We start from the raw sequence: 20,462 nt of genomic DNA, 5'->3' as shown, positions 1-20,462 counted from the left end.
CTGCCAGCCCTGGGGGTGTTGCATGCGCAGTGTGTTTACTTTAGTTGTGTACATGCTCATACGCCGCGCTCTTCCCTTACCAGTCAAGCGTTCCTAGAGGAAGGTCAAACACCAGTTAAACTCCACCATTTTGCCTCTTAGTGCGCATGCTTGAGCCCGCTTACCCAGCTCCTGAGATTTTATCGGGAAGCTACTGATCAGCAGCTTCAGGTGTTTTCTGTCTACTGGGAGACTGCCTTTCCCCGGCGTTGGCTGGGACCAATTATCATTTTAGAGACAGTTTAACAACTGCCTAACCATCACCTGATGGTCACCTGACATTGTTGGGCTGGGAGTTCGCGGGGCTCTCCTGCTCTGCTCACCATTGCCTAACTATCTACTGTAACAATACCACCTAGCAAAGCTGTGGCCGTGTCTTGCAGGAAGAAGGTGAGGTCAGAATTTATTAAGAATTGGAAGTTGATTTAAGGTGGGCTTTGAAAGCCCAGATATGATTAGGATTGGGTAAGGTTCATGGTACAACAGTTCAGAATTGCTAGAAACAGCAACGTGACAATTTCAAAGCAAGAGAGGTGAAGAATCTTCAGGAAGTTTTAATAATCAACATCTGCCTGTGTAGCCCACTCTAATGAAGACACAAGAATAGCACAATGTCATGTTAATGCAGAGTAGGGTGTGTTTGGTTCTCAGCACCCAGCCTGAATATGAGGTAAGGAGACTTCTGTTCTCAGCCCCTCCTGAGGTCATTTTTCAGCCTCAGTTGAAGGATAAACCATTGATTTCTGAGGATGTAATCAATCCAGCTCTTTACCACTATTAGAGGTGTCATAATTGCATATCAAGATTCTATCAATAATTGCATCTAAGTTTCTGGAGGTGGTTGTTTCAACCTCTAAAAGGATCAGATTTTCCAGTTCTTTCTGCCTTCCTTTTGCCAGAACATTTGATGGGACAGCTGCTGAGGAACAGCCTTTATGACTCCAGAGATCACACATGTGAACCCTGCCACACAGACAAATACTAAACCAGGATTATGTTCAGTTTGTTCTTCACTTCTCAGTCAGGAGCCAAGGGCATCCAGGTTACACTAAAAGAACAGATCCCATCCCCCAATCTGAAGAGTTCACAGGACCAGACATGGAGTTGTTAACCAAATGACCTAAGTTTCTGATTTCTTTGTTTACTTCCCCAGATCTTTTTATTAATATTAAAAATCTAAGAGAGGTCTGCAGAGATTTACATATGACATTCTTCTCCTAAAACAGCACATGTTCTTCCTCCAGAGTCCAGTATGATGTCTAAAGCAGATCTGTTCTGAACCCACCACTTGTCCAATTTCATCATCTTCTTGGATGAGGAGTTCTGTGGCTTAGAGGAGAAAAAGAAACCTTTTTCTCTACTCTCAGGTACTGTGAGTGGGACTTGTGAATTAATCTGTCAAAAGACAGATTAAATGAGGAAAAAGGCATACAAATTTTATTTGATGTTAATATTTTAATTTTTATGTAGACAGAGGCATTTTTACAAGTGAAGACCCCAAACAAGCAGTTAGCCCTGGAGGATTATATACCATTTTAACAACGGGCACTAAATCCTGCGTGAGAGAAGTAACAAGACAAAGGAAAGTTGGGGTTTAGGCTCCTAGGGGCAGCAAACTGTGGGAAGGTGACTAGAACTTGTATGGTAAATAAGGGTTGTTTAGTAAGGTTTGTTATGAAGAGAGTCATCCTTCTCTTCCTAATACGGGGAACACCTTTACAAATAGAAATTTATGTCAGTTTTACAAAGGGAAATATAAGTCCTGCTTTTAAGCAAAAAAGGGGAGAGCAGAGAATTCTTCCTGTGCCTGCTATTTCTCAGTTTCCTTCAGCTCAAAATAATTCTTATGCCAAAGTGACATATTTTGGGGTGACAATTCTGGTACCCTGCAGTGGCCTTCATGGCATTGTCTAAATTGCTTGCTATTCTCTTAACCATACCAGGTAGGATTCCCCCAACTTTTCACACCTCTTATAAGCATGAATAAAGAGACATAAGGCAAGGGAAAAAAATCAAAATCCAGAATTCCCTTGAAGTGAAGATCTACTGGTCTCTTTTTCCTAGAGGATAAATCAATGAGACAAGAAATAAATAAATAACCTTTATATTATAGGTGAAGACAATAAGCAGTAAAACAAGGAAACAAGGTCATCAAAATTGAACAAATTTTGCTAAGATTCTAATATATTTTATAGCTTTTCAGAAGCATTTACACATACTACAATCTTCTTTTTCCCTTAACAAAAACATATATTATTAACTTGCATAAAAACACATACCTCTCTGCCAAGATTATTCCTAATAGAGTCTCATTCAGGTATATTCAGTTATAACTTTTAACCAAAGTAACCTTATTTCCCAGAGAAAACTGGGGTAAGCAGGAAGTGTGGATAATTGTCCACTGTCACACATCAGCACTTTGCAGACTAGCAGAGCCCATGAATATAACACAATTTTCTACAGCTACACACAACCCTAATACAACTTCTCAAAGTGGCAAAAATGATTACATTCATTAACAGGCACAAAGATAGCATATAAAAATAAGAAGCAAAAGTATACAAACTTTAAGTTATGCTTAATAATTGACGTTTTAATATGCTATCTTACTCAGAAATTATATTGTCATCCAATGACTATCTATTCATTAACTAAATTTAATAGTTCCAAATATCTTGGAAATTAATAGTCTAACACTACAAAACATAATTAGTGTTGAAGTAAAATTTTTCAGAATAAGTCAACACAAATACATATTTTTCATAACCATAAGTATTAAATAGAAGTAAGCCTAGTTTATTTGATCAGTTAACCTGTGTAAGTTTAAGAATATACCCAATTAAGGCTGGGCGCGGTGGCTCACGCCTGTAATCCCAGCACTTGGATCACAAGGCAGGTGGATCACAAGGTCAGGAGATCGAGACCATCCTGGCTAACATGGTGAAACCCCATCTCTACTTAAAAATACAAAAAATTAGCCAGGCATGGTCATGGGCGCCTGTAGTCCCAGCTACTAGGGAGGCTGAGGCAGGAGAATGGCGTGAACCCGGGAGGCAGAGCTTGCAGTGAGCCGAGATTGTGCCAGCCTGGGCGACAGAGCGAGACTCCGTCTCAAAACAAACAAACAAACAAACAAACAAAAAAGAATATACCCAATTAGAATAAAATCATAAGCTTCTATTATACTTTACCCTGATAAATCAGAGAAAATATAACTTTTTCATTAAGCCAAAAATAAGTCTCATTTGCAAAATTTCACTGAAAGCATGTAAACTCAGACTCTTTGACCGTTTAAGTTTCTATAAGATTATCATCTTTAACATATCAAAAGTATTTATTCAATTTTTTTAATTTCTGGGAATTTTTTAAAATATTCAATTGATAGAAGCACTTATTTCAAATAAATCAATTAGAAGGGCTCCTTTAATCTTTAAAGTTTCCTCTGAGCACCTCATTGATTAGTCACTGCATTTTTTACACAGAGTCATCTCTCCACATCCATGGGCTTCACATTCATGGATTTAACCAACCTCAAATTGAAAATATTCTTTAAAAAATGTACATCTGTACTGAACATGTAGACTCTTTTTCTCTTCATTATGCTCTAAACAATACAGTATAACAAATATTTATACAGAATTTACATTGTATTGGGTATGGATATGGTTTGGCTCTGTGTCCCCAAATCTCATCTTGAATTGTAATCCCCACATGTAAAGAAAGGGACCTAGTAGGACATGACTGGATGATCATGGTGGTGGTTTCCCCCATGCTGTTCCCATGAGATCTGATGGTTTTAAAGTGTTGACAGTTCCTCCTTCACTGTCTTTCTTCTATTTCCTGCCACCTTGTGAAGAAGGTGCTTGCTTCCCCTTTGCCTTCTGCCATGATTGTATGTTTCCTGAGGCCTCTCTAGCCATGTCAACTGTGAGTCAATTAAACCTCTTTCCTTTACAAATTACACAGTCTCAGGGAAGTTCTTTACAGCAGTGTGAAAATGAACTAGTACAGTAAATTGGTACCAGGAGTAGGGTACTGCTATAAAGATGCTTGAAAGGCGGATGAAACTTTGGAACCAGGTAATGCACAGAGGTTGGAAAAGTTTGGAGGGCTCAGAAGAAGACAGGAAGATGTGGGAAAGTTTGGAACTTCCTAGAGACTTGTTGAATGGCTTTGACCAAAATGTTGATAGTGAGATGAACAATGAAGTCCAGGCTGAGGTGGTCTCAGATGGAGATGAGTAACTTACTGGGAACTGGAGTAATGGTCACTCTTGCTATGCTTTAGCAAAGAGACTGGTGGCATTTTGCCCCTGCCCTAGAGATCTGTGGAACTTTGAACTTGAGAGAGATGATTTAGGGTATCTGGTGGAAGAAATTTCTAAGTGGCAAAGCATTCAAGAAAAAACAGAGCATAAAAGTTTGGAAAATTTGCAGTCTGACTACGAGGTAGAAAAGAAAAACCAATTTTCTAGGGAAAAATTCAAGCCAGCTGCAGAAATTGCATAAGTAATGAGGAGCCAAATATTAATCACCAAGAAAATGGGGTAAATATCTCCAGGGCATGTCAGAGATCTTCACAGCAGTTCCTCTCATCACAGACATGGAGGCCTAGGAGATAAAAATGGTTTTGCTTGCTGGGCCCAGGGCCCCTGCTGCTCTGTGCAGCCTCAGGACATGGCACCCTGCATCCCAGCCACTTCAACTCCAGCCATGACTAAAAACAGCTCAGCCCATTGCTTCAGAGGGTGCAAGCCCCAGGCCTTGGCAGATTTCATGTGGTGTTGTGCCTGTGGGTGCACAGAAGTCAAGAATTGAGGTTTGGCCACCTCATGTTCTCACTCATAAGTGGGAGCTGAACAATGAGACCACATGGACACAGGGAGGGGAACGTCACACACCAGAATCTGTCAGGGGGTGAGAGGCAAGGGGAGGGAGAGCATTAGGACAAATACCTAATGTATGTGGGGCTTAAAACCTAGATGACAGATTGATAGCGGAGCAAACCACAATAGCACATGTATACCTATGTAACAAACCTGCATGTTCTGCACATGTATCTGATAAAGTAAAATAAAAAATAGAAGAAGAAGAAGAGACATCAGAATATCTCCTCTATATTGTTTGACTTTCTACAGTAAATAAATACATAAATAAACAAAGAATTGAGATTCGGGAACCTCCACCTAGATTTCAGAGGCTGTATGGAAATGCCTGAATGTCCAGGCAGAAGTCTGCTGCAGGGTTAGAGCCCTCATGGAGAACCTCTGCTAGGGCAGTGCAGAAGAGAAATGTGGGATTGGAGTCCCCACACAGAATCCTCACTGGGACACTACCTAGTGAAGCTGTGAGAAGAGGGCCACTGTCCTCCAGACCTCAGAGTGGTAGATCCACCAACAGCTTGCATCATGCACCTGGAAAAGCTGCAGGCAGTCAACACCAGCCCATGAATGAGCTACCCAAGGCCACGCAAGCCCACCCCTTGCACTGGCATGCCCTGGATATGAGGCATGAAGTCAAAAACTATTATTTTGGAGCTTTAAGATTTAATCACTGCCCTGTTGGCTATCAGACTTGCATAGAGCCTGTAGCCCCTTTGTTTTGGGCAATTTCTCCCATTTGGAATGGAAGCATTTTCTAATGCCTGTAATGCCATTGTATCTAGGAAGTAACTAACTGGCTTTTGATTTTATAGGCTCATAGGTGGAAGGGACTTGCCTTGTCTCAGATGATACTTTGGACTTGGACTTTTGGGTTAATCCTGGAATGAGTTAAGACTTTGGAGAACTGTTCAGAAGCCATGACTGCTTTGAAATGTGAGAAATACATGAGATTTTGGAGGGGCCAGGGGTGAAATGATATGGTTTGACCTTTTGTCCTCACCCAAATCTCATCTCAAATTGTAATCCCCATGTGTCAAGGGAGGGACCTAGTGGGAGGTGATTGGATAACAATGGTGGTTTACCCCATGCTGTTCTCATGATACTGAGTGAGTTCTTTTTTTTTTTTCTTTTTTTTTTTTTTTTTTTGAGATGGAGTCTCACTTTGTCACCCAGGCTGGAGTGCAGTGGGGCAATCTTGGCTCACTGCAAGCTCCGCCTCCCAGATTCATGCCATTCTCCTGCCTCAGCCTCCTGAGTAGCTGGGACTACAGGTGCCCGCCACCACGCCTGGCTAATTTTTTGTATTTTTAGTGGAGACAGGGTTTCACCATGTTAGCCAGGATGGTCTCGATAGATAGTGAGTGAGTTCTTATGAGAGCTGATGATTTTATAAGTGTTGACCATTTCTCCTTTGCTGGCTTTCTTCTCTCTCGCCACCTTGTGAAGAAGGTGCGTGCTTCCCCTTTGCCTTCTGCTATGATTGTAAGTTTCCTGAGCCCTCTCTAGTCAGGTGGAACTGTGAATCAATAAAACCTCTTTCCTTTACAAATTACCCAGTCTCAAGGAAGTTATTTTAGCAGTGTGAAAATGGACGAATACAGGTATTATAAGTAATCTGGAGATTATTTAAAGTATATAGGAGGTTATATGTAGGTTATATGCAATTACTACACCACTTTATACTGGTTATTTGAGTATCTGCAAATTTTTGTATCCTGAAACCAATTCCTCATGGATACCGAAGGAAGACTGTATTTTCTCTACTGTTTTTTAGCCAAGACAGGGCAATTCTTTTTGCAATGTCTTTTTTTTAAATATGTACTACTATCTTTATTAAGAGACTCCCTCCTTTGGAGTTGAATGACTAATGTGGGAGCATCCAGATGTTTTATTGGTAAGGCCATAAATTTATTCAGATTTCCACTTCGTTTTTGTCCTAAGCTCTTTTCAAAGCACTCAGCAAGGAATTGGGAGTTCTGGCAGTAGGGTCATTTCCTATTCTAATCTATTCTTATGTGTTAAATACCCAACTTCTGACTTGGCAATATTTATTTGTGAAAAGTTAATGGAGAGCCAGGGCTGCATCTGCTTCAAGATCTTCTCCTGAATGGTGTCTAAAGGTATAAAGAACTATCTCTGAAGTCTCCAAAGAACTCATTCTTTCCTTGCTTCCGACTGGATTACAGTCTAATCTACCTTCATAGAGAAGACTTTGGGTTAGACTCCAAAAGACCTTATCCAACATTTACAGCTTTTCTAAGGCCCTCTGATTTTCTGTAAAAGCCAGGGTCCTTTTAAATCATTCTTGAGAGCTTCCAACCCTGCTCTTTCTATCCAGTCCTTAGCATGTAAGATTACCACTAGCACATGAACTTATTGATAAGATTAGTGAGTCCTGCATTATACATTCATAAGATAATTTCTCTGCAAATTTCTCCCTGTCCTGTCTGGGCTTTGAAAAGTCTTTTGACAATGGCTCTCAGCTAAGACTGAGACCAGGGTTTGAAATCAACAGAAAAGGGTTTTGTTTGTTCTGAGGGAGATTTAACTCTAAGAGACAATGGAGCTTAAGGTGATGCAGGAGAGCCTAGAGGGAGGAAGAGCAAATCAGAGGGATAAATGGGGCAGAAGGAAATGGAAGCGTATAGGATTTGGGGAGAGTAGGCTATTATTAGGTTAAAATTGTGATTCAGGAGGGTCTAAAGAGAGAAATTGATTTAAGATTATTTAAAATTTTGCTTTGGCCAAGTAATATCTTAGAAAAAAGATTTTGGAATCTGAATATTTCAGATTTTTTTTATAAGCATTAAGAAATGAGGACCATTGGAAGTTTAAAGTGCTCCTTTTTGAACTGAACTTCTCAGTCCCCATGGCCTGCTTAAGGAAAGGGCTTATTTCAGTGCCTATGCTTGTCTACTTCCCTATGAATTTTCTCTTCCTGATAGACAACAAATATGACAAGAGAGGCAAACAGCAGTGCTAGTACGAAAAGACTTCCACCAACCATATACATTTTTTTTTCCAATTTGGGCACCTAAGAAGAGTTTCTTAATCCTAGAAATTAAAATTATAAACTCAGCATCTGGGAGCTCAATGAAAGAGATCAAAGTTCCAACCACTGCAAGATTCATTCACCCCATTGATTAGGTCTTATGACCTAATCACCTCTTAAAGATCCCACCTCTGAATATTGTTACAATGGCAATAAATTTCAACATGAGTTTTGGAATGACATTAAAGCCAAAGCAGTTATAAAAGTGAGTTCAGCTCTCTGTTGTTTTTTCTCTCTGTCTCTCTCTCTCTTTCCCTCTCTCCCTCCTCTCTCTCATGCTCTCTTGCCCTTCTGCCTTCTATCATGGGATGATGCAGCATGACCACCCTTGCAAGATATGAGACCCTCCACCTTACACTTCCCACCCTCCAGACCTGTAAGCAATACATCTCTGTTCTTTATAAACTACCTAGTCTTAGGTATTCTGTTATAGTAGGAGAAAACAAATTAAGACAGAAAATTGGTACAGAGAAGTGGAGCTGTTACTATAACAAATACCTGAAAATGCAGAAGCAGCTTTGGAACTGGGTAATGTGTAGAAGCCGGGAGAATTTGGAGGAGCAGGCTAGAAAAAGCCTAGATTGCTATGAATAAAGTGTTAAGGACAATTTCAGTGAGGGCTAAGAAGAGAAGAAGACCAAAAAAATTCTGTAATGTCTTAGAGATTACTTAAGTGGTCATGACCAAAATGTTGATAGAAATACAAATGGTAAAGGCCATTCTGATGAGGTATCAGACAGAAATGAGGAACAACATATTGGAAACTGAAGTAAAGGCCATCCTTGCTATGCAGTTGCAAATAACTTGGCCAAATTGTGTCCATGTTCTAGGTCTTTACAAAATGCAGAACTTAAGAGAGATCAACTAGAATATCTAGTGGAAGAAATATCTATGCAGCAAAGCATTCAGGCTGCCAGGCTGCTGCATGGCTACTTTTAACCATATACAGTGAGACGTGAAAGGAGAGAAATAACTTAAAGATGAACTTTATAATTAAAATAGAGGCAGCTGAGCACGGTGGCTCACCCCTGTAATCCCAGCACTTTGGGAGGCTGAGGCAAGTGGATCACAAAGTCAGGAGTTTGAGACCAGCCTGGCCAATAAGGTGAAATCCCATCTCTACTAAAAATACAAAAATTAGCCGGGCGTGGTGGCGCACACCTGTAGTCCCAGCTACTCAGGAGCCTGAGGCAAAAGAATCACTTGAACCCAGGAGGCAGAGGTTGCAGTGAGCCGAGATCGTGCCACTGCACTCCAGCCTGGGCAACAGAGCAAGACTCCATCTCAAAAAAAAAAAGAGGCAGAACAAAAAGATTCAGAACATTCAAAGCCTGGCCATGTAAAGAGTAAAAAAGCATGTCAGGGAAAGAAAAATAAGGGTGTGGCCAAGAGACTGTTTGCTCAAGAGATTAAAATGGCTAGAAAGGAGCCAGGTACTACTATTCATCAAGACAATGGAAGAAAGACCCCAAAGACATTTCAAACATTTTTGAGGCTACACTTCCCATCACAGGCAAAGCTCTAGGAAGGAAGAATGGTTTCAGGGAAAAAGCCCAGGGCATCCTCCATGGGCTCATTATCCAGGGCTGCCTCAGGACTCTGCTTCCCTCAGCATCCCTCAGCCACCCCAGCCATGGTTCAAGTGGGCCTTTGTATGTCTCAAGCCACAGCCCTAGAGGGCTCAAGGATTAAATCCTGGTGTCATCCTCATGGTGCTAATTCTGTAGATATCCAGAGTGGATTAGCTACGAAGCCATGGTGGCCTCCATCTAGATTTCGAATGATTTTGTAAACAGCCTGGGGACTAGGTAGAGGCTTGTCACTTGGGCACAGCTACAGCAGAGAGCTCCTACCAGAGCAATGCCAAGCAGAAATATGGTGTCAAAGTCACCACAGAGAGTCCTCACTAAGGCAATGCCCAGTGGAGCCATGGGAGCAAAACCACCTCAGAGACCCCAGAACTGTAGCACTACCAGCATGCAATGCTTGCCTAAGAAAGCTGCAGGCACAAGACCCCAACCAAAGAGAGCTCAAATATGAGCTGAGCCTAGCAAAGCCATGGGGACAGGGCTGCCTGAGGCCTTGTGGGCTAAACCCCCACCCCAGTGTGCCCAGGATGTAGAATACAAAGTCAAAGGGTATGATTACCCAACATTCTCCAGGGAAAATGTTGTTTTCTGTTAGGTTTTGGACTTACTTGGGTTCAGTTACCCCTTTTCTTGCCTATTTCCCCCTTTTGGAATGGAATGGGAATGTCTTTCCTATGACTGTCCCACCATTGTATTTTGAAAGTAGACAACATGCTTTTAGTTCACAGGCTCACAACTGGAGGAAATTTGACTCAGAATGAATCATGTCTTGAGTCTCACCTATATCTGATTTAGATGAGACTCTTGAGTTGTTGCTGAAATGAGTTAAGACTTTTGGGACCTTTGGGATAGAATGCATGTATTTTGTATGTGAGAAGGGTATGAATTTTGGGGGATCAGGAGTGGAAATGCCATGGATTGAGTGTCCCCTCCAAAACCCATGTTGAAATTTAATTTCCATTATAACAGTATTGAGAGGTGGGACTTTTAAGAGGTGAGTAGCCCATGAATAAATCAATGCAGTTATCGCGAAAGTGGGTTAGTTCGCATGGGAGTGGGTTCCTGGTAAAAGGATGAGCTTTGACCCCCATTTGTCTCTCACACACATTTGTTCTCTTGCCATGTAATGTCTTCTGCCATGTTTTGATGCAGCAAGAAGGCCGTCACCAGATGCAACCCCTCAATCTTGGACTTCCCAAGCTCCAGAATGATAAGCCAAATAAATCTCTTTTCTTTATAAATTACCCAGTCTGATATTTTGTTATTGCAGCAGAAAAAGGACTAAGACAATAACAAACCTACTCTCACAATACAACACATAACACTGTTTTGGTCAACAATGGACCACAAATACAACAGTGGTCCCATGAGATTATAAGGGGACTGAAAAGTATCTATTGCTTAGTGATGTCTTGATGATTCTGACCCTGTGCAGGCCTGGTCTAATGTTTGTACCTATGTCTTAGTTGTTAATAAAAAAAAAAAGTTTTAAAAGTTAAAAAAAATTAAAAATAGAAAAAAATTTATTGAATGAGGATATAAAGAAAATAGTCTTGTGCAGCTGTACAGTGTTTTTGCATTTTAAGCTGTGTTATTATGACAGTCAAAAAGTTTTTAAAACAGCGGGCAGATCACGAGGTCAGGAGATCGAGACCATCCTGGCTAATGTGGTGAAACCCCATCTCTACTAAAAATACAAAAAATCAGTCAGGCGTGGTGGTGGGCGCCTGTAGTCCCAGCTACTCGGGAGGATGAGGCAGGAGAATGGCGTGAACCCAGGAGGCGGAGCTTGCAGTGAGCTGACATTGCACCACTGCACTCCAGCCTGGGTAACAGAGCAAGACTCCATCTCAAAAAAAAAAAAAATTTAAATGTTTATAAATTAAAAAGTGGCAGTAAGCTAAGGTTAATTTATTATTGAAGAAATAAAATATTTTTATAAAAATTTAGTGTAGCCTAAGTGTACAGTGTTTATTAAGTCTACAGTGGTCTACAGTAATGTCCTAGGCCTTCACATTCACTCACCACTCACTCATTGACTCACCCACAGCAACCTCCTGTCCTGCAAGCTCTATTCGTGGTGAGTGCCCTTAACAGGTATATCATTTTTATCTTTTATACTGTATTTTTACTTTACCTTTTCTATGTTTACATACATAAATACTTACTATTGTGTTGCAGTTGCCTACAGTGTCCAGTACGGTAATACACTCTACAGTTTTGTGGCCTAGGAGCAATAGGCCATATCATATAGCCCAGGTGTGTAATAGACTAGACTATACCACCTATGTTCGTGTAAATGCACTCTATTTGTTTGCATAACAAATCAAATCACCTAACAACACATTTCTCAGAATGTATCCCCTTTGTTAAGGGGTGCATGGCTTAGCTGACTTGAAATTCAAACTCACAAAGTCAATTTGCAATAAAAACAATATATCCTGTGGTCAGGGTAGCTTTGATATCATGAGAGGAAACTCCAAGAAGGCTACTCTGGCAGCCCCATTGTCCCTCTACATCCCCAACCCCATAACCCATGCCAAAGTCAGAATCTGACAAAGCTGACTGACACCCCAACAACTGGGTCTCCCTGTAGGATTCTAACTGGTATTTTCCAGCTATGTCTTCCCATAAGCAATTTACAAGCTTTGTTAACTGCATCATCAAAATTTCAAAAACAGCAGTCTGTTTTTCTCAGCAAAGAAAATAGTGTGAGAGAGAGAAAAAAAGAGAGAGCTTTTCCAAAGAGTGTTAAAAAGCCAAGAATCAATTGTATGATATCATTGAAACTTTGGGTGGTCTTCCCCCGCCCCCTCACAATTCCTGGCTTTCCAGCCCTAAGTACTCCTGACTTAAGATATCTTGAAGATCACCAGAAACAGTCTTGCAGATCATGCATGAAGCCTTATCTTTTTCTTATTATGCTTTTATTTCAGAGGTCACCCATCTACAGTGCTCCAGGAGGCTCACAGCATTAATGAATCCCTTGCTGAATTTACAGTAGCAGCTCTCAGCCCACACATTAGTGCCACTTAGACAGAGATCAGATTTCCTTTCTAAGCCAAAACTTCAATAACTCACAGATCAGCCAGCTGAACTCTCTTTCTGAGTTACAGATTGAATAGTGCAGGGGAAGGGGCAGTGATGGAGCAGATAATCAAAAACAAAGTCCAACGCAACCATTTTCCCATTTTTAAATCTTCTCTAATTTTGTTTGCAAAATAATTGTTATTTGCTCCAAGAAGAATAGGGAGGTCTTTGCTCTAGGTTAAACAGAGAATGGTTCTTAGGATACTTGTAAAAGTGTTTGATCAATTATTTCCAATTAATAATCATTTACTAGCTGAGCGACATTAAGAGTCCATTTCTCTGAATATCAGCATTGTTTTTCTTGTTTGAAACTTAGATGAACTATTGTGTTGGTAAACTTAAAGCCACAAAAGTGACCATTTTAATAGGCTTACGGGGATTATGTCAGGTTAAGAATGATTAACATAAGCCTAAACACCTAAGTGTATAATAAGACTAGTACTGTGATTCTTTGCAATCAGATATGCATAAAGATGATAAATATGAATGGACCCAGTTATGTAGCTGGAGAAATGAACCTAATCAGCTTCCTTTTCCAGAAAGAGAGGAAGCAAATGACCCCTAAGAACATAACTGGGCTCTTGTTAATGGTAATTCCAAAGCTTCCCCTGGGTCTCTGTGAAGCTCGGGATAGAATATGTTTTTTTTTTTTATTTCCAGTAGGCTAGAGGGAGCATAATTTTTGTTTCTCTTTTTTGAGACAGAGTCTTTCTCTGTCACCCAGGCTGGAGTGCAGTGGCGCCATCTCGGCTCGCTGCAACCTCCGCCTCCCGGGTTCAAGCGATTCTCCCACCTCAGCCTCCTGAGTAGCTGGGATTACAAGTGCGTGCCCCATGCCCAGCTAATTTTTGTATTTTTAGTAGAGACAGGGTTTCACCATGTTGGCCAGGCTGGTCTCAAACTCCTGACCTCAAGTGATCCACACCCCTCAGCCTCCCAAAGTGCTAGGATTACAGGCGTGAGCCACTGCACCTGGCAGATGGGGGCATAATTTGAAGATCACCAGAAACAGTCCTGCAGATCGTGCATGAAGCCTTATCTTTTCCTGATTATGCTTTGAAAGCATATCATTTGAAAGCCAGTCAAGGAAAATGGGCAGGAACTTCGTCATGGGAAAGATGCTTTGCTACCATTTGAGATTTGACTATGCTATAATTGAGAATTCACACTGCTTCTTGGGAAGGGTGTGTGTGTGTGTGTGTGTGTGTGTGTGTGTGTGGTGGGTGTGTATGTGGTGTTTGAGGTGGGAGGGTTCCAACAATTACTAGCTGGAAAATCAGAAGAATGAAAGAGTCTAGGCTACAACTCACGCTGCTGTGGGGACCTCCAACAATACTTCATGTGGGTGCCGAGGACCACCATGGACTGCACCATGGACTTCACCATGGAGCTTAGAGTATTAAGACTCAGCCAGCCCTACCACACCCCACTCTTCCCCAGGCTGTGCTAAAAACACAATACCTGAGGGCAGCTGTGGACTTACCACTGCAGCAATGCTCCAGGGCAATTTCTCTCAATAACTCAGACATAGGAAGTGGTCCACTTGGAAAGGAAGGATTGCTCCTGTGAGCAGACGTTTTCTGAAAGTTGGACATAGAGAACACAACAGAAGAAGTATGTACTCAGAGAGGCCTTACCTGGGACAAACAGTTGATGTTAGGAAATGGGGATTCCCATTGAGCCCAACAGGACGTGAAGAGTTTTAACTCCCTGCGGGCTTTTTCTTGGGGTGGGAATATTATTAGTAATAATTAGCACACAATTTCAAAGTGCCTCCCTGTTTGTTATCCTCAATCCTGCACTGAAGTCTGATGCTCAGATACAGACTGGAACAGCCAGGCTTTGTGGCATAAAGGGGAGGGCAGGGACAGGATATATGGCCTGCCTATCTCCGCCTCTCTGCTGCCATTAGTGAGAACAGAGCAGCATCCTGGCAAGGGCTCTGTGTCCTGTTGCTCCAGGCAGGGATCAGCACAGCTGGGATTGGCAGAGAAACACAGGGTACTAGTCTTTCCTCCAGGGCTCTACCCTCCTCCCCAAACCCTCCCATTTCCAACCCATCTTCTTTCCCAAAAACCTTGAAGGAGAGAGAAAATTGGAACTTAGTTTTTAAATTATTTAGCATACTTTTAGGAACTTTTGAAACCATGTATCACTTTAATACCTTTTGATGGCTAACAAATGGTTCACCTCGATGCAATAAGCAGGCATAAGCAATGGTCTGGGATGCTTCTGATCCATTTGGAGATCCTGTTGGATTTTGCTTTAAAACATCACTGATGGCTGTCAACCTCTTTTCCATTTCTGCCTCTCCCAGTCTCCTCATTTAGGCTTCATCACCTCATACCAAAAATACTGAAATATTCTCCTAATGAACTGTCTTTAGTTTCTCCCTGTTGCAAAACCATCCTATATCTCAGTGCCAAAATTTCTCAAAGTGTCACCACACACACACACACACACAAACACACACTCACATAACCATTTTATCCCAATTTGCCTAGGACTTTCCTGGATTTAGCATGAAAGTCCCATGTCTCAGGAAACTCCTCAGTTCCAGGAAAACTGAGACAGTTCAATCTAACAGGTCAACCTAATACATACATAAGCACACATGTGCTCTCTCTCATTCTCTCTCTCTCTCTTTCAATGACTCACCATTGCTTGCAGTGCTTCATATGTAGTGAGTATTCAATTATTGTGGATGGATGGATGAATGGATGCATGGATGGATGAAAGAAATGGGCTAATTCGAGGCAAAATTCATACTCATCCTTCTACAATGTTATAAAATATATTGGAGAGGTATTGTTTAGTTTGTTTTAACATTGTTTGGCTTATAAAGCAATTTTGCCATATTAGTATTCAGAATACTCTGTATATGTATCATACATTCCCCTCACATCACAGATGAGGAACCCAATCCTTGAGGAGGCTAACTAACTTGTCCAAGGACATACAGCTAATGGAGGAAAGGTAGTAATCCAACCCAGGTTCATGGTTCTAGACACTTTCAACATCATTCCCTTCTACTTTGCTCACTCCTCTGCTCTATTTAAGTTGATCTCTTTCCATTCTCTAAATAAGCAACAAATAACCCTATTCTTGTTTCCAGATATTTTCTCAAGCCATCCCTTTAGCAAGGAATGTCTTCACATTTCTCCACTGAATCATAATCCCAATGGTTGTCATTTATTGAGCACTTACTACATGTTGAGGGAGGATAAATAATTTAGATGGTGGTACACTGGCTCTTAAATATTTTGGCCTATGAGTGACACACATTGGTGTCATTCACATTTCATTGGTTAGAACTAATCTGTGGCACACCTGAGTACAAAGTGGCTAGGAAACAAAGTTATCCCATGTGCCCAGGAAGGAGAGTAGAACCAGACAAGAGAGAGCACTGGAAGGCCCTGTAAAGAAGCCAAAGCCAGTGTTTGCCTTATTAACTGGAACTGATGGTAGACAAACTGGGGAGAAGGAAAAAGGAACACTGAGCTTCAGAGACCCAAGAGTTGGTCCCCTACAGGCAAAACAGGGCATGCCAAGAAAGTGAGCTATGACTTGGTGACTAACACAGGAAACCAGTGGTTCATAGTTGATACTCCACCTCAGGACAGGACTCTGGTTCTCAGACAGGAGATCAGAAGTCAGTACTGGGGCATTGCTTCTTTGGGTCACCCTACCAATGAATGTGACTTTAAAATGTCTAGGCTCCTCATGAAAGCTTATCTACACAGTCACACAGGACTGTGTGACAGCAACTCAAGTAGATACCAAATCTGAGTCCTGGGACAGGTATATCTCTCCATCACTAGTGCACATGTACACAAACACACACACACACACACACACACCAGACAACAGAAGGCAAGATTTATATATTCTGCCCTTAGCCCTCTTGCCTGGAGGACTCAACTGAGGCACCCATTGCAAGAAACCTCACCTCTTGAGAAGTAAAATGCTCAAAGAGTTCATCAGTCTGAGTGATTTAACAACTAAACTCTCTGAAATGCATTTGCTGAAAGCAGAGTCTTTGTTTAACTTGGGAACTGAGGTAGGATTGCGTCTATACGTTGGCCATGTGGTACTGGGCAGGGAAGATTAGCATCCATAACAGACATCCAATAGTATTTGTTAACAACGCTGTTAGTGGTGGTGACCTTGATCACAATATCTCTAATCTTGAATTTAATGTTGAAATATACACACAGGATAAAACTGTCTCTCTACCAAAAACCCACTAGTGTTATCAAGCAGACAGAATATGAGTCTGGCCAACTCTGAAGAACTTTCATGTGCCAATTCGTAGGATTACACAAATTATTTTGAGATTTTGCTTGAATATCTGGAAACTGAATATTTTCAAAATAACTGATTTTTAACTGAATTAAACTAAATGGTTCTAAACTATTCTGTGTGTACAGATACAATATGTTGTGCCCACCCAAAGGAGAATAATTTGGCAATTTCTAGTTTGAGCCAAGTAATTAATTCATAATTAATTAATACTAATATAATTTGTAATATTGCTAAAGCCAATGGTCACAAAATGGTGGTATGGGATGGTCATTTTTACAGCAAACGGACACATCTCCGGGGTTTCCAACAGCAAAACTAAACTACTGATTTTGGTGAGCCTGAAGTAAATTATTAACTTACTCTTATCATTGCCCTAGTACATGCCTGAGGAAGTCTCTCTTTTTATCCAGGTAGAGCTTTGTTTCAGCTTACATTCTCCAATCCTCACAACCGGATTCAATTTCATTCCATTTGTATGGAAAGGCTACTTATGCTAAGGATGATATTTATATCTCAGCCTACAAAGATAATGATAATAATAATTGCCATTTTATCATATTCATTTTACAGATGAGAAAACTGAAACAGAAAGGTCACCTCAGCTGTTGCAAAGTAATAAATGGCAAGACTGGAATTCAGAGAAGGGCTGTGTAGCCCCAAGTTCCACTCGTAACCATTACTGCACAGCCCTACCCTCAGAGGACTTGCATTCCTGTTCTTGGATGTGCAGAATGCATCACCTGTAACATCTGCATGCACCCCGAGACATCTGCATCACCCCCAAAGTTAAGTCTGTCCCATCCCCACCTTGCCCCAGCCTGCTCCTCTGTCTTACATTTCAGTCCTCTGAGAGTTGAAGAGCTGGCCCAAGCCCCAATCTGAGCCACTCTGCTTGATCCAAGCCAACTTCCCACCAAGAGCTCAGACTGCTGCTCCCCCAGAACGCAAGTCCTTCTTACCCAATATTAAGGCAGTACAGGGCAGTTAAGAAGAGCTTACAGTTAGACTCACTGCTCTGAGGCTCAGTTTCCTTATTTATAAAGTCAATGTAATATTCTCTCCCTTTAAGGTTGAATGAAATAATCTACATAAAGTGCTCAGTATGGGGCTTGTCTCCTGGGGGCTCCCATCTGCCATGAATATCTCAACATTGTGGTTGGCCAAAAATATTAGACCACCCTCCCTTCATAGCATTAAGGATGCTTAACTCAACTTGTACACTCCTTGGATGCTTTGCACTGCCATGTCCAGTGTCTACCTCTGAAACCAAGCCAGTTTCCCCAGCCCACATCATATTGGCTGAGGGGTCAAAGCCCTTGTTTCTCTCTGGCTGGCTGAGAGCCCAGCATGCCTGCTCCTGTTTCCCCACTTTAGAGTAGTGCTATTAGGTAGAATTTCCTAGGATGATGTAACTGTGCTGTCCAAAGTGGAAGACACTAGCTACAAGTGGCTACTGGGCACTTGAAATGTAGTTAGTACAATTAAGGACTAAAAATTTTAATTATTTTTTATTTAAATCACCACATGTGGCTGTGGCTAGTGACTGTCATATTGGACAGAACAGGTATGCAGTATGGTCAACCAGGTGTGTTCCCTGTCTCTCTGAGTCCTTATATCACCCTATACGGGGTTGCTTAGCCACTCACAGTAAAGTCCTGCCCCACAGGTAACTCACCACATACCCGTTGGCTCCTATAGATGAGCCTGTGATGGCATCTAGTGCATTCGCCTCGGTATTGAGAAATACACCTCCCAGGTAACAACCCCTGTAGGGGTCACTGGAAGGTAAAGAGGAAACAGACGAGCAATCCAGCAGTGGGACTGCAGCAGTCAGAGCTGAGAAGGGGTGTATATAATTACATATCCCAGAGCCAGAGAGGATTAGAAGTGCTACAGAAGTGAATGTCAGGCAATATGATATTCCACAGGTGTGAAAGTAGCGTTTCTACAGAGTTGGCCAACACTCTCTAAATCAAAAATATCTGCTGCCGAATGGGGGGAGAAAGAAAGTGAAGTGAATCATAAACTAGAGTCAAATGGGATAGGAGAGACAGTACAGAGTAGTCAGCCCAGCAGATCATACAAACCTGACTGCCCACACCTTGCTCCAAAGGTTGAGTCCTTTATCAAAGGGACGTGTGATTTAAATTGAAATAATACGTTTAAAAAAAATGATTTTAGGCCCGGCGTGGTGGCTCACGCCTGTAATCCCAACACTTTGGGAGGCTGACGCAGGCAGATCACAAGGTCAGGAGATGGAGACCATCCTGGCTAACACGGTTAAACTCCGTCTCTACCAAAAAATACAAAAAAAATAGCAGGGCGTGGTGGCAGGCACCTGTAGTCCCAGCTACTCGGGAGGCTGAGGCAGGAGGATGGCGTGAACCTGGGAGGCGGAGCTTGCACTGAGCCGAGATCACACCACTGCACTCCAGCCTGAGTGACAGAGCGAGACTCCATCACAAAAAAAAAAAAAGATTTTACAGATGAGGAAGCTGAGGCTTAGGAAGGTTATTTACTCAAGTTCATGCAGTTTATAAGACTTATAACTGTGGGATTCCAGATTTTCATCCTCAGTGATCCAGAATTCACAAGGGAGGTGAGGAGGTCATTTTATTGATCCGAGCATCAAGTGAGAATAAAAATGGATATGGAATCAAGGCCATTTTAGTACCTGCTGGGATGCGTGGGACCCAAGAGCAGAAGGGAAGGATTCAGGAATGAGGATCTTATTTAAGGATCCAGATGATAAGCTGGGTTTTTGATGTGTTGATCTGTAGGTTGCACTGCAATAACTAATTCAAAATGATCAAAAGTCGTTGGAAACGCAGGACTAAAACTATGACGAGAAGTTGGAACTGGAGATAGAAGCATCAATTGAGGAATTGTTGCAAAGCGTACAAAATCTCAAAAGAACAAAGAGAAAGCAGCAATAGCCAAAGAATTGCCAGAGAGGAGACACTGACAGAAAACTGACATTCCCCAGCATGCGCCACTTTTGCTAGGTAGTTGTACCAATCTTTATTTCACCTCATTATCCACACGACAAACGTGTCAGAGAGATATGAGAGCAAACACTTTCCTTTTTCCTTTAAACAAATATTCTCTTTTTCTAGCAACTTCTCACAGGCTGGGGTTGGGGATTCTCTTCTCCAACCTGTGGTGGAAACACATCCAGGGGAGACCACATCCGGGGCAAGGGCAAGTCATGTGACCTAGGCTGAGCCAATAAATGCCTCCCATTTCCCTCGTCACAGTGATTGGTTGAGGGATAGGCACAAGACCCAATCAGCTTCAGCGAGACCCAGTGAGGCTTCCGCTAGGAATGTGTGGACGGAGTCTGGCTGGCTTTCCTTTAGAATTCAAGCCTGAGATGTGTGGGGAATGGAGCAAATGTAACTGTCCTTCTACCATTTGAAACCTGAGATTGGAGTCAAAACTAAGGAATTGCAGCAGAAAGGAAGAAATTGGGTCCTCTGGTGACTATTGAGTCATGAATCAAAAT

General features: G+C 41.8%; 2 long non-coding RNA genes across 2 annotated transcripts; one reads left to right on the top strand and one right to left on the bottom strand.

Annotated features, from left to right (window-relative positions):
* The first annotated feature begins 76 nt into the window (after positions 1–76).
* Positions 77–17,966, top strand: LOC105369956 (uncharacterized). Its single transcript, XR_945297.3, has 3 exons — positions 77–429; positions 1,266–1,406; positions 17,528–17,966. It is a non-coding gene; the product is annotated as an uncharacterized LOC105369956 (long non-coding RNA).
* On the bottom strand, positions 1,394–17,669 carry LOC105369955 (uncharacterized). Its single transcript, XR_945295.3, has 3 exons — positions 17,318–17,669; positions 14,136–14,232; positions 1,394–2,099 (listed from the first exon to the last, which is right to left on the bottom strand). It is a non-coding gene; the product is annotated as an uncharacterized LOC105369955 (long non-coding RNA).
* Positions 17,967–20,462: the final 2,496 nt, after the last annotated feature.

Source organism: Homo sapiens, chromosome 12 (assembly GCF_000001405.40).
Source record: "Homo sapiens chromosome 12, GRCh38.p14 Primary Assembly".
NCBI lineage: Eukaryota > Metazoa > Chordata > Mammalia > Primates > Hominidae > Homo > Homo sapiens.
This window is presented reverse-complemented; position numbering and strand designations above follow the sequence as displayed.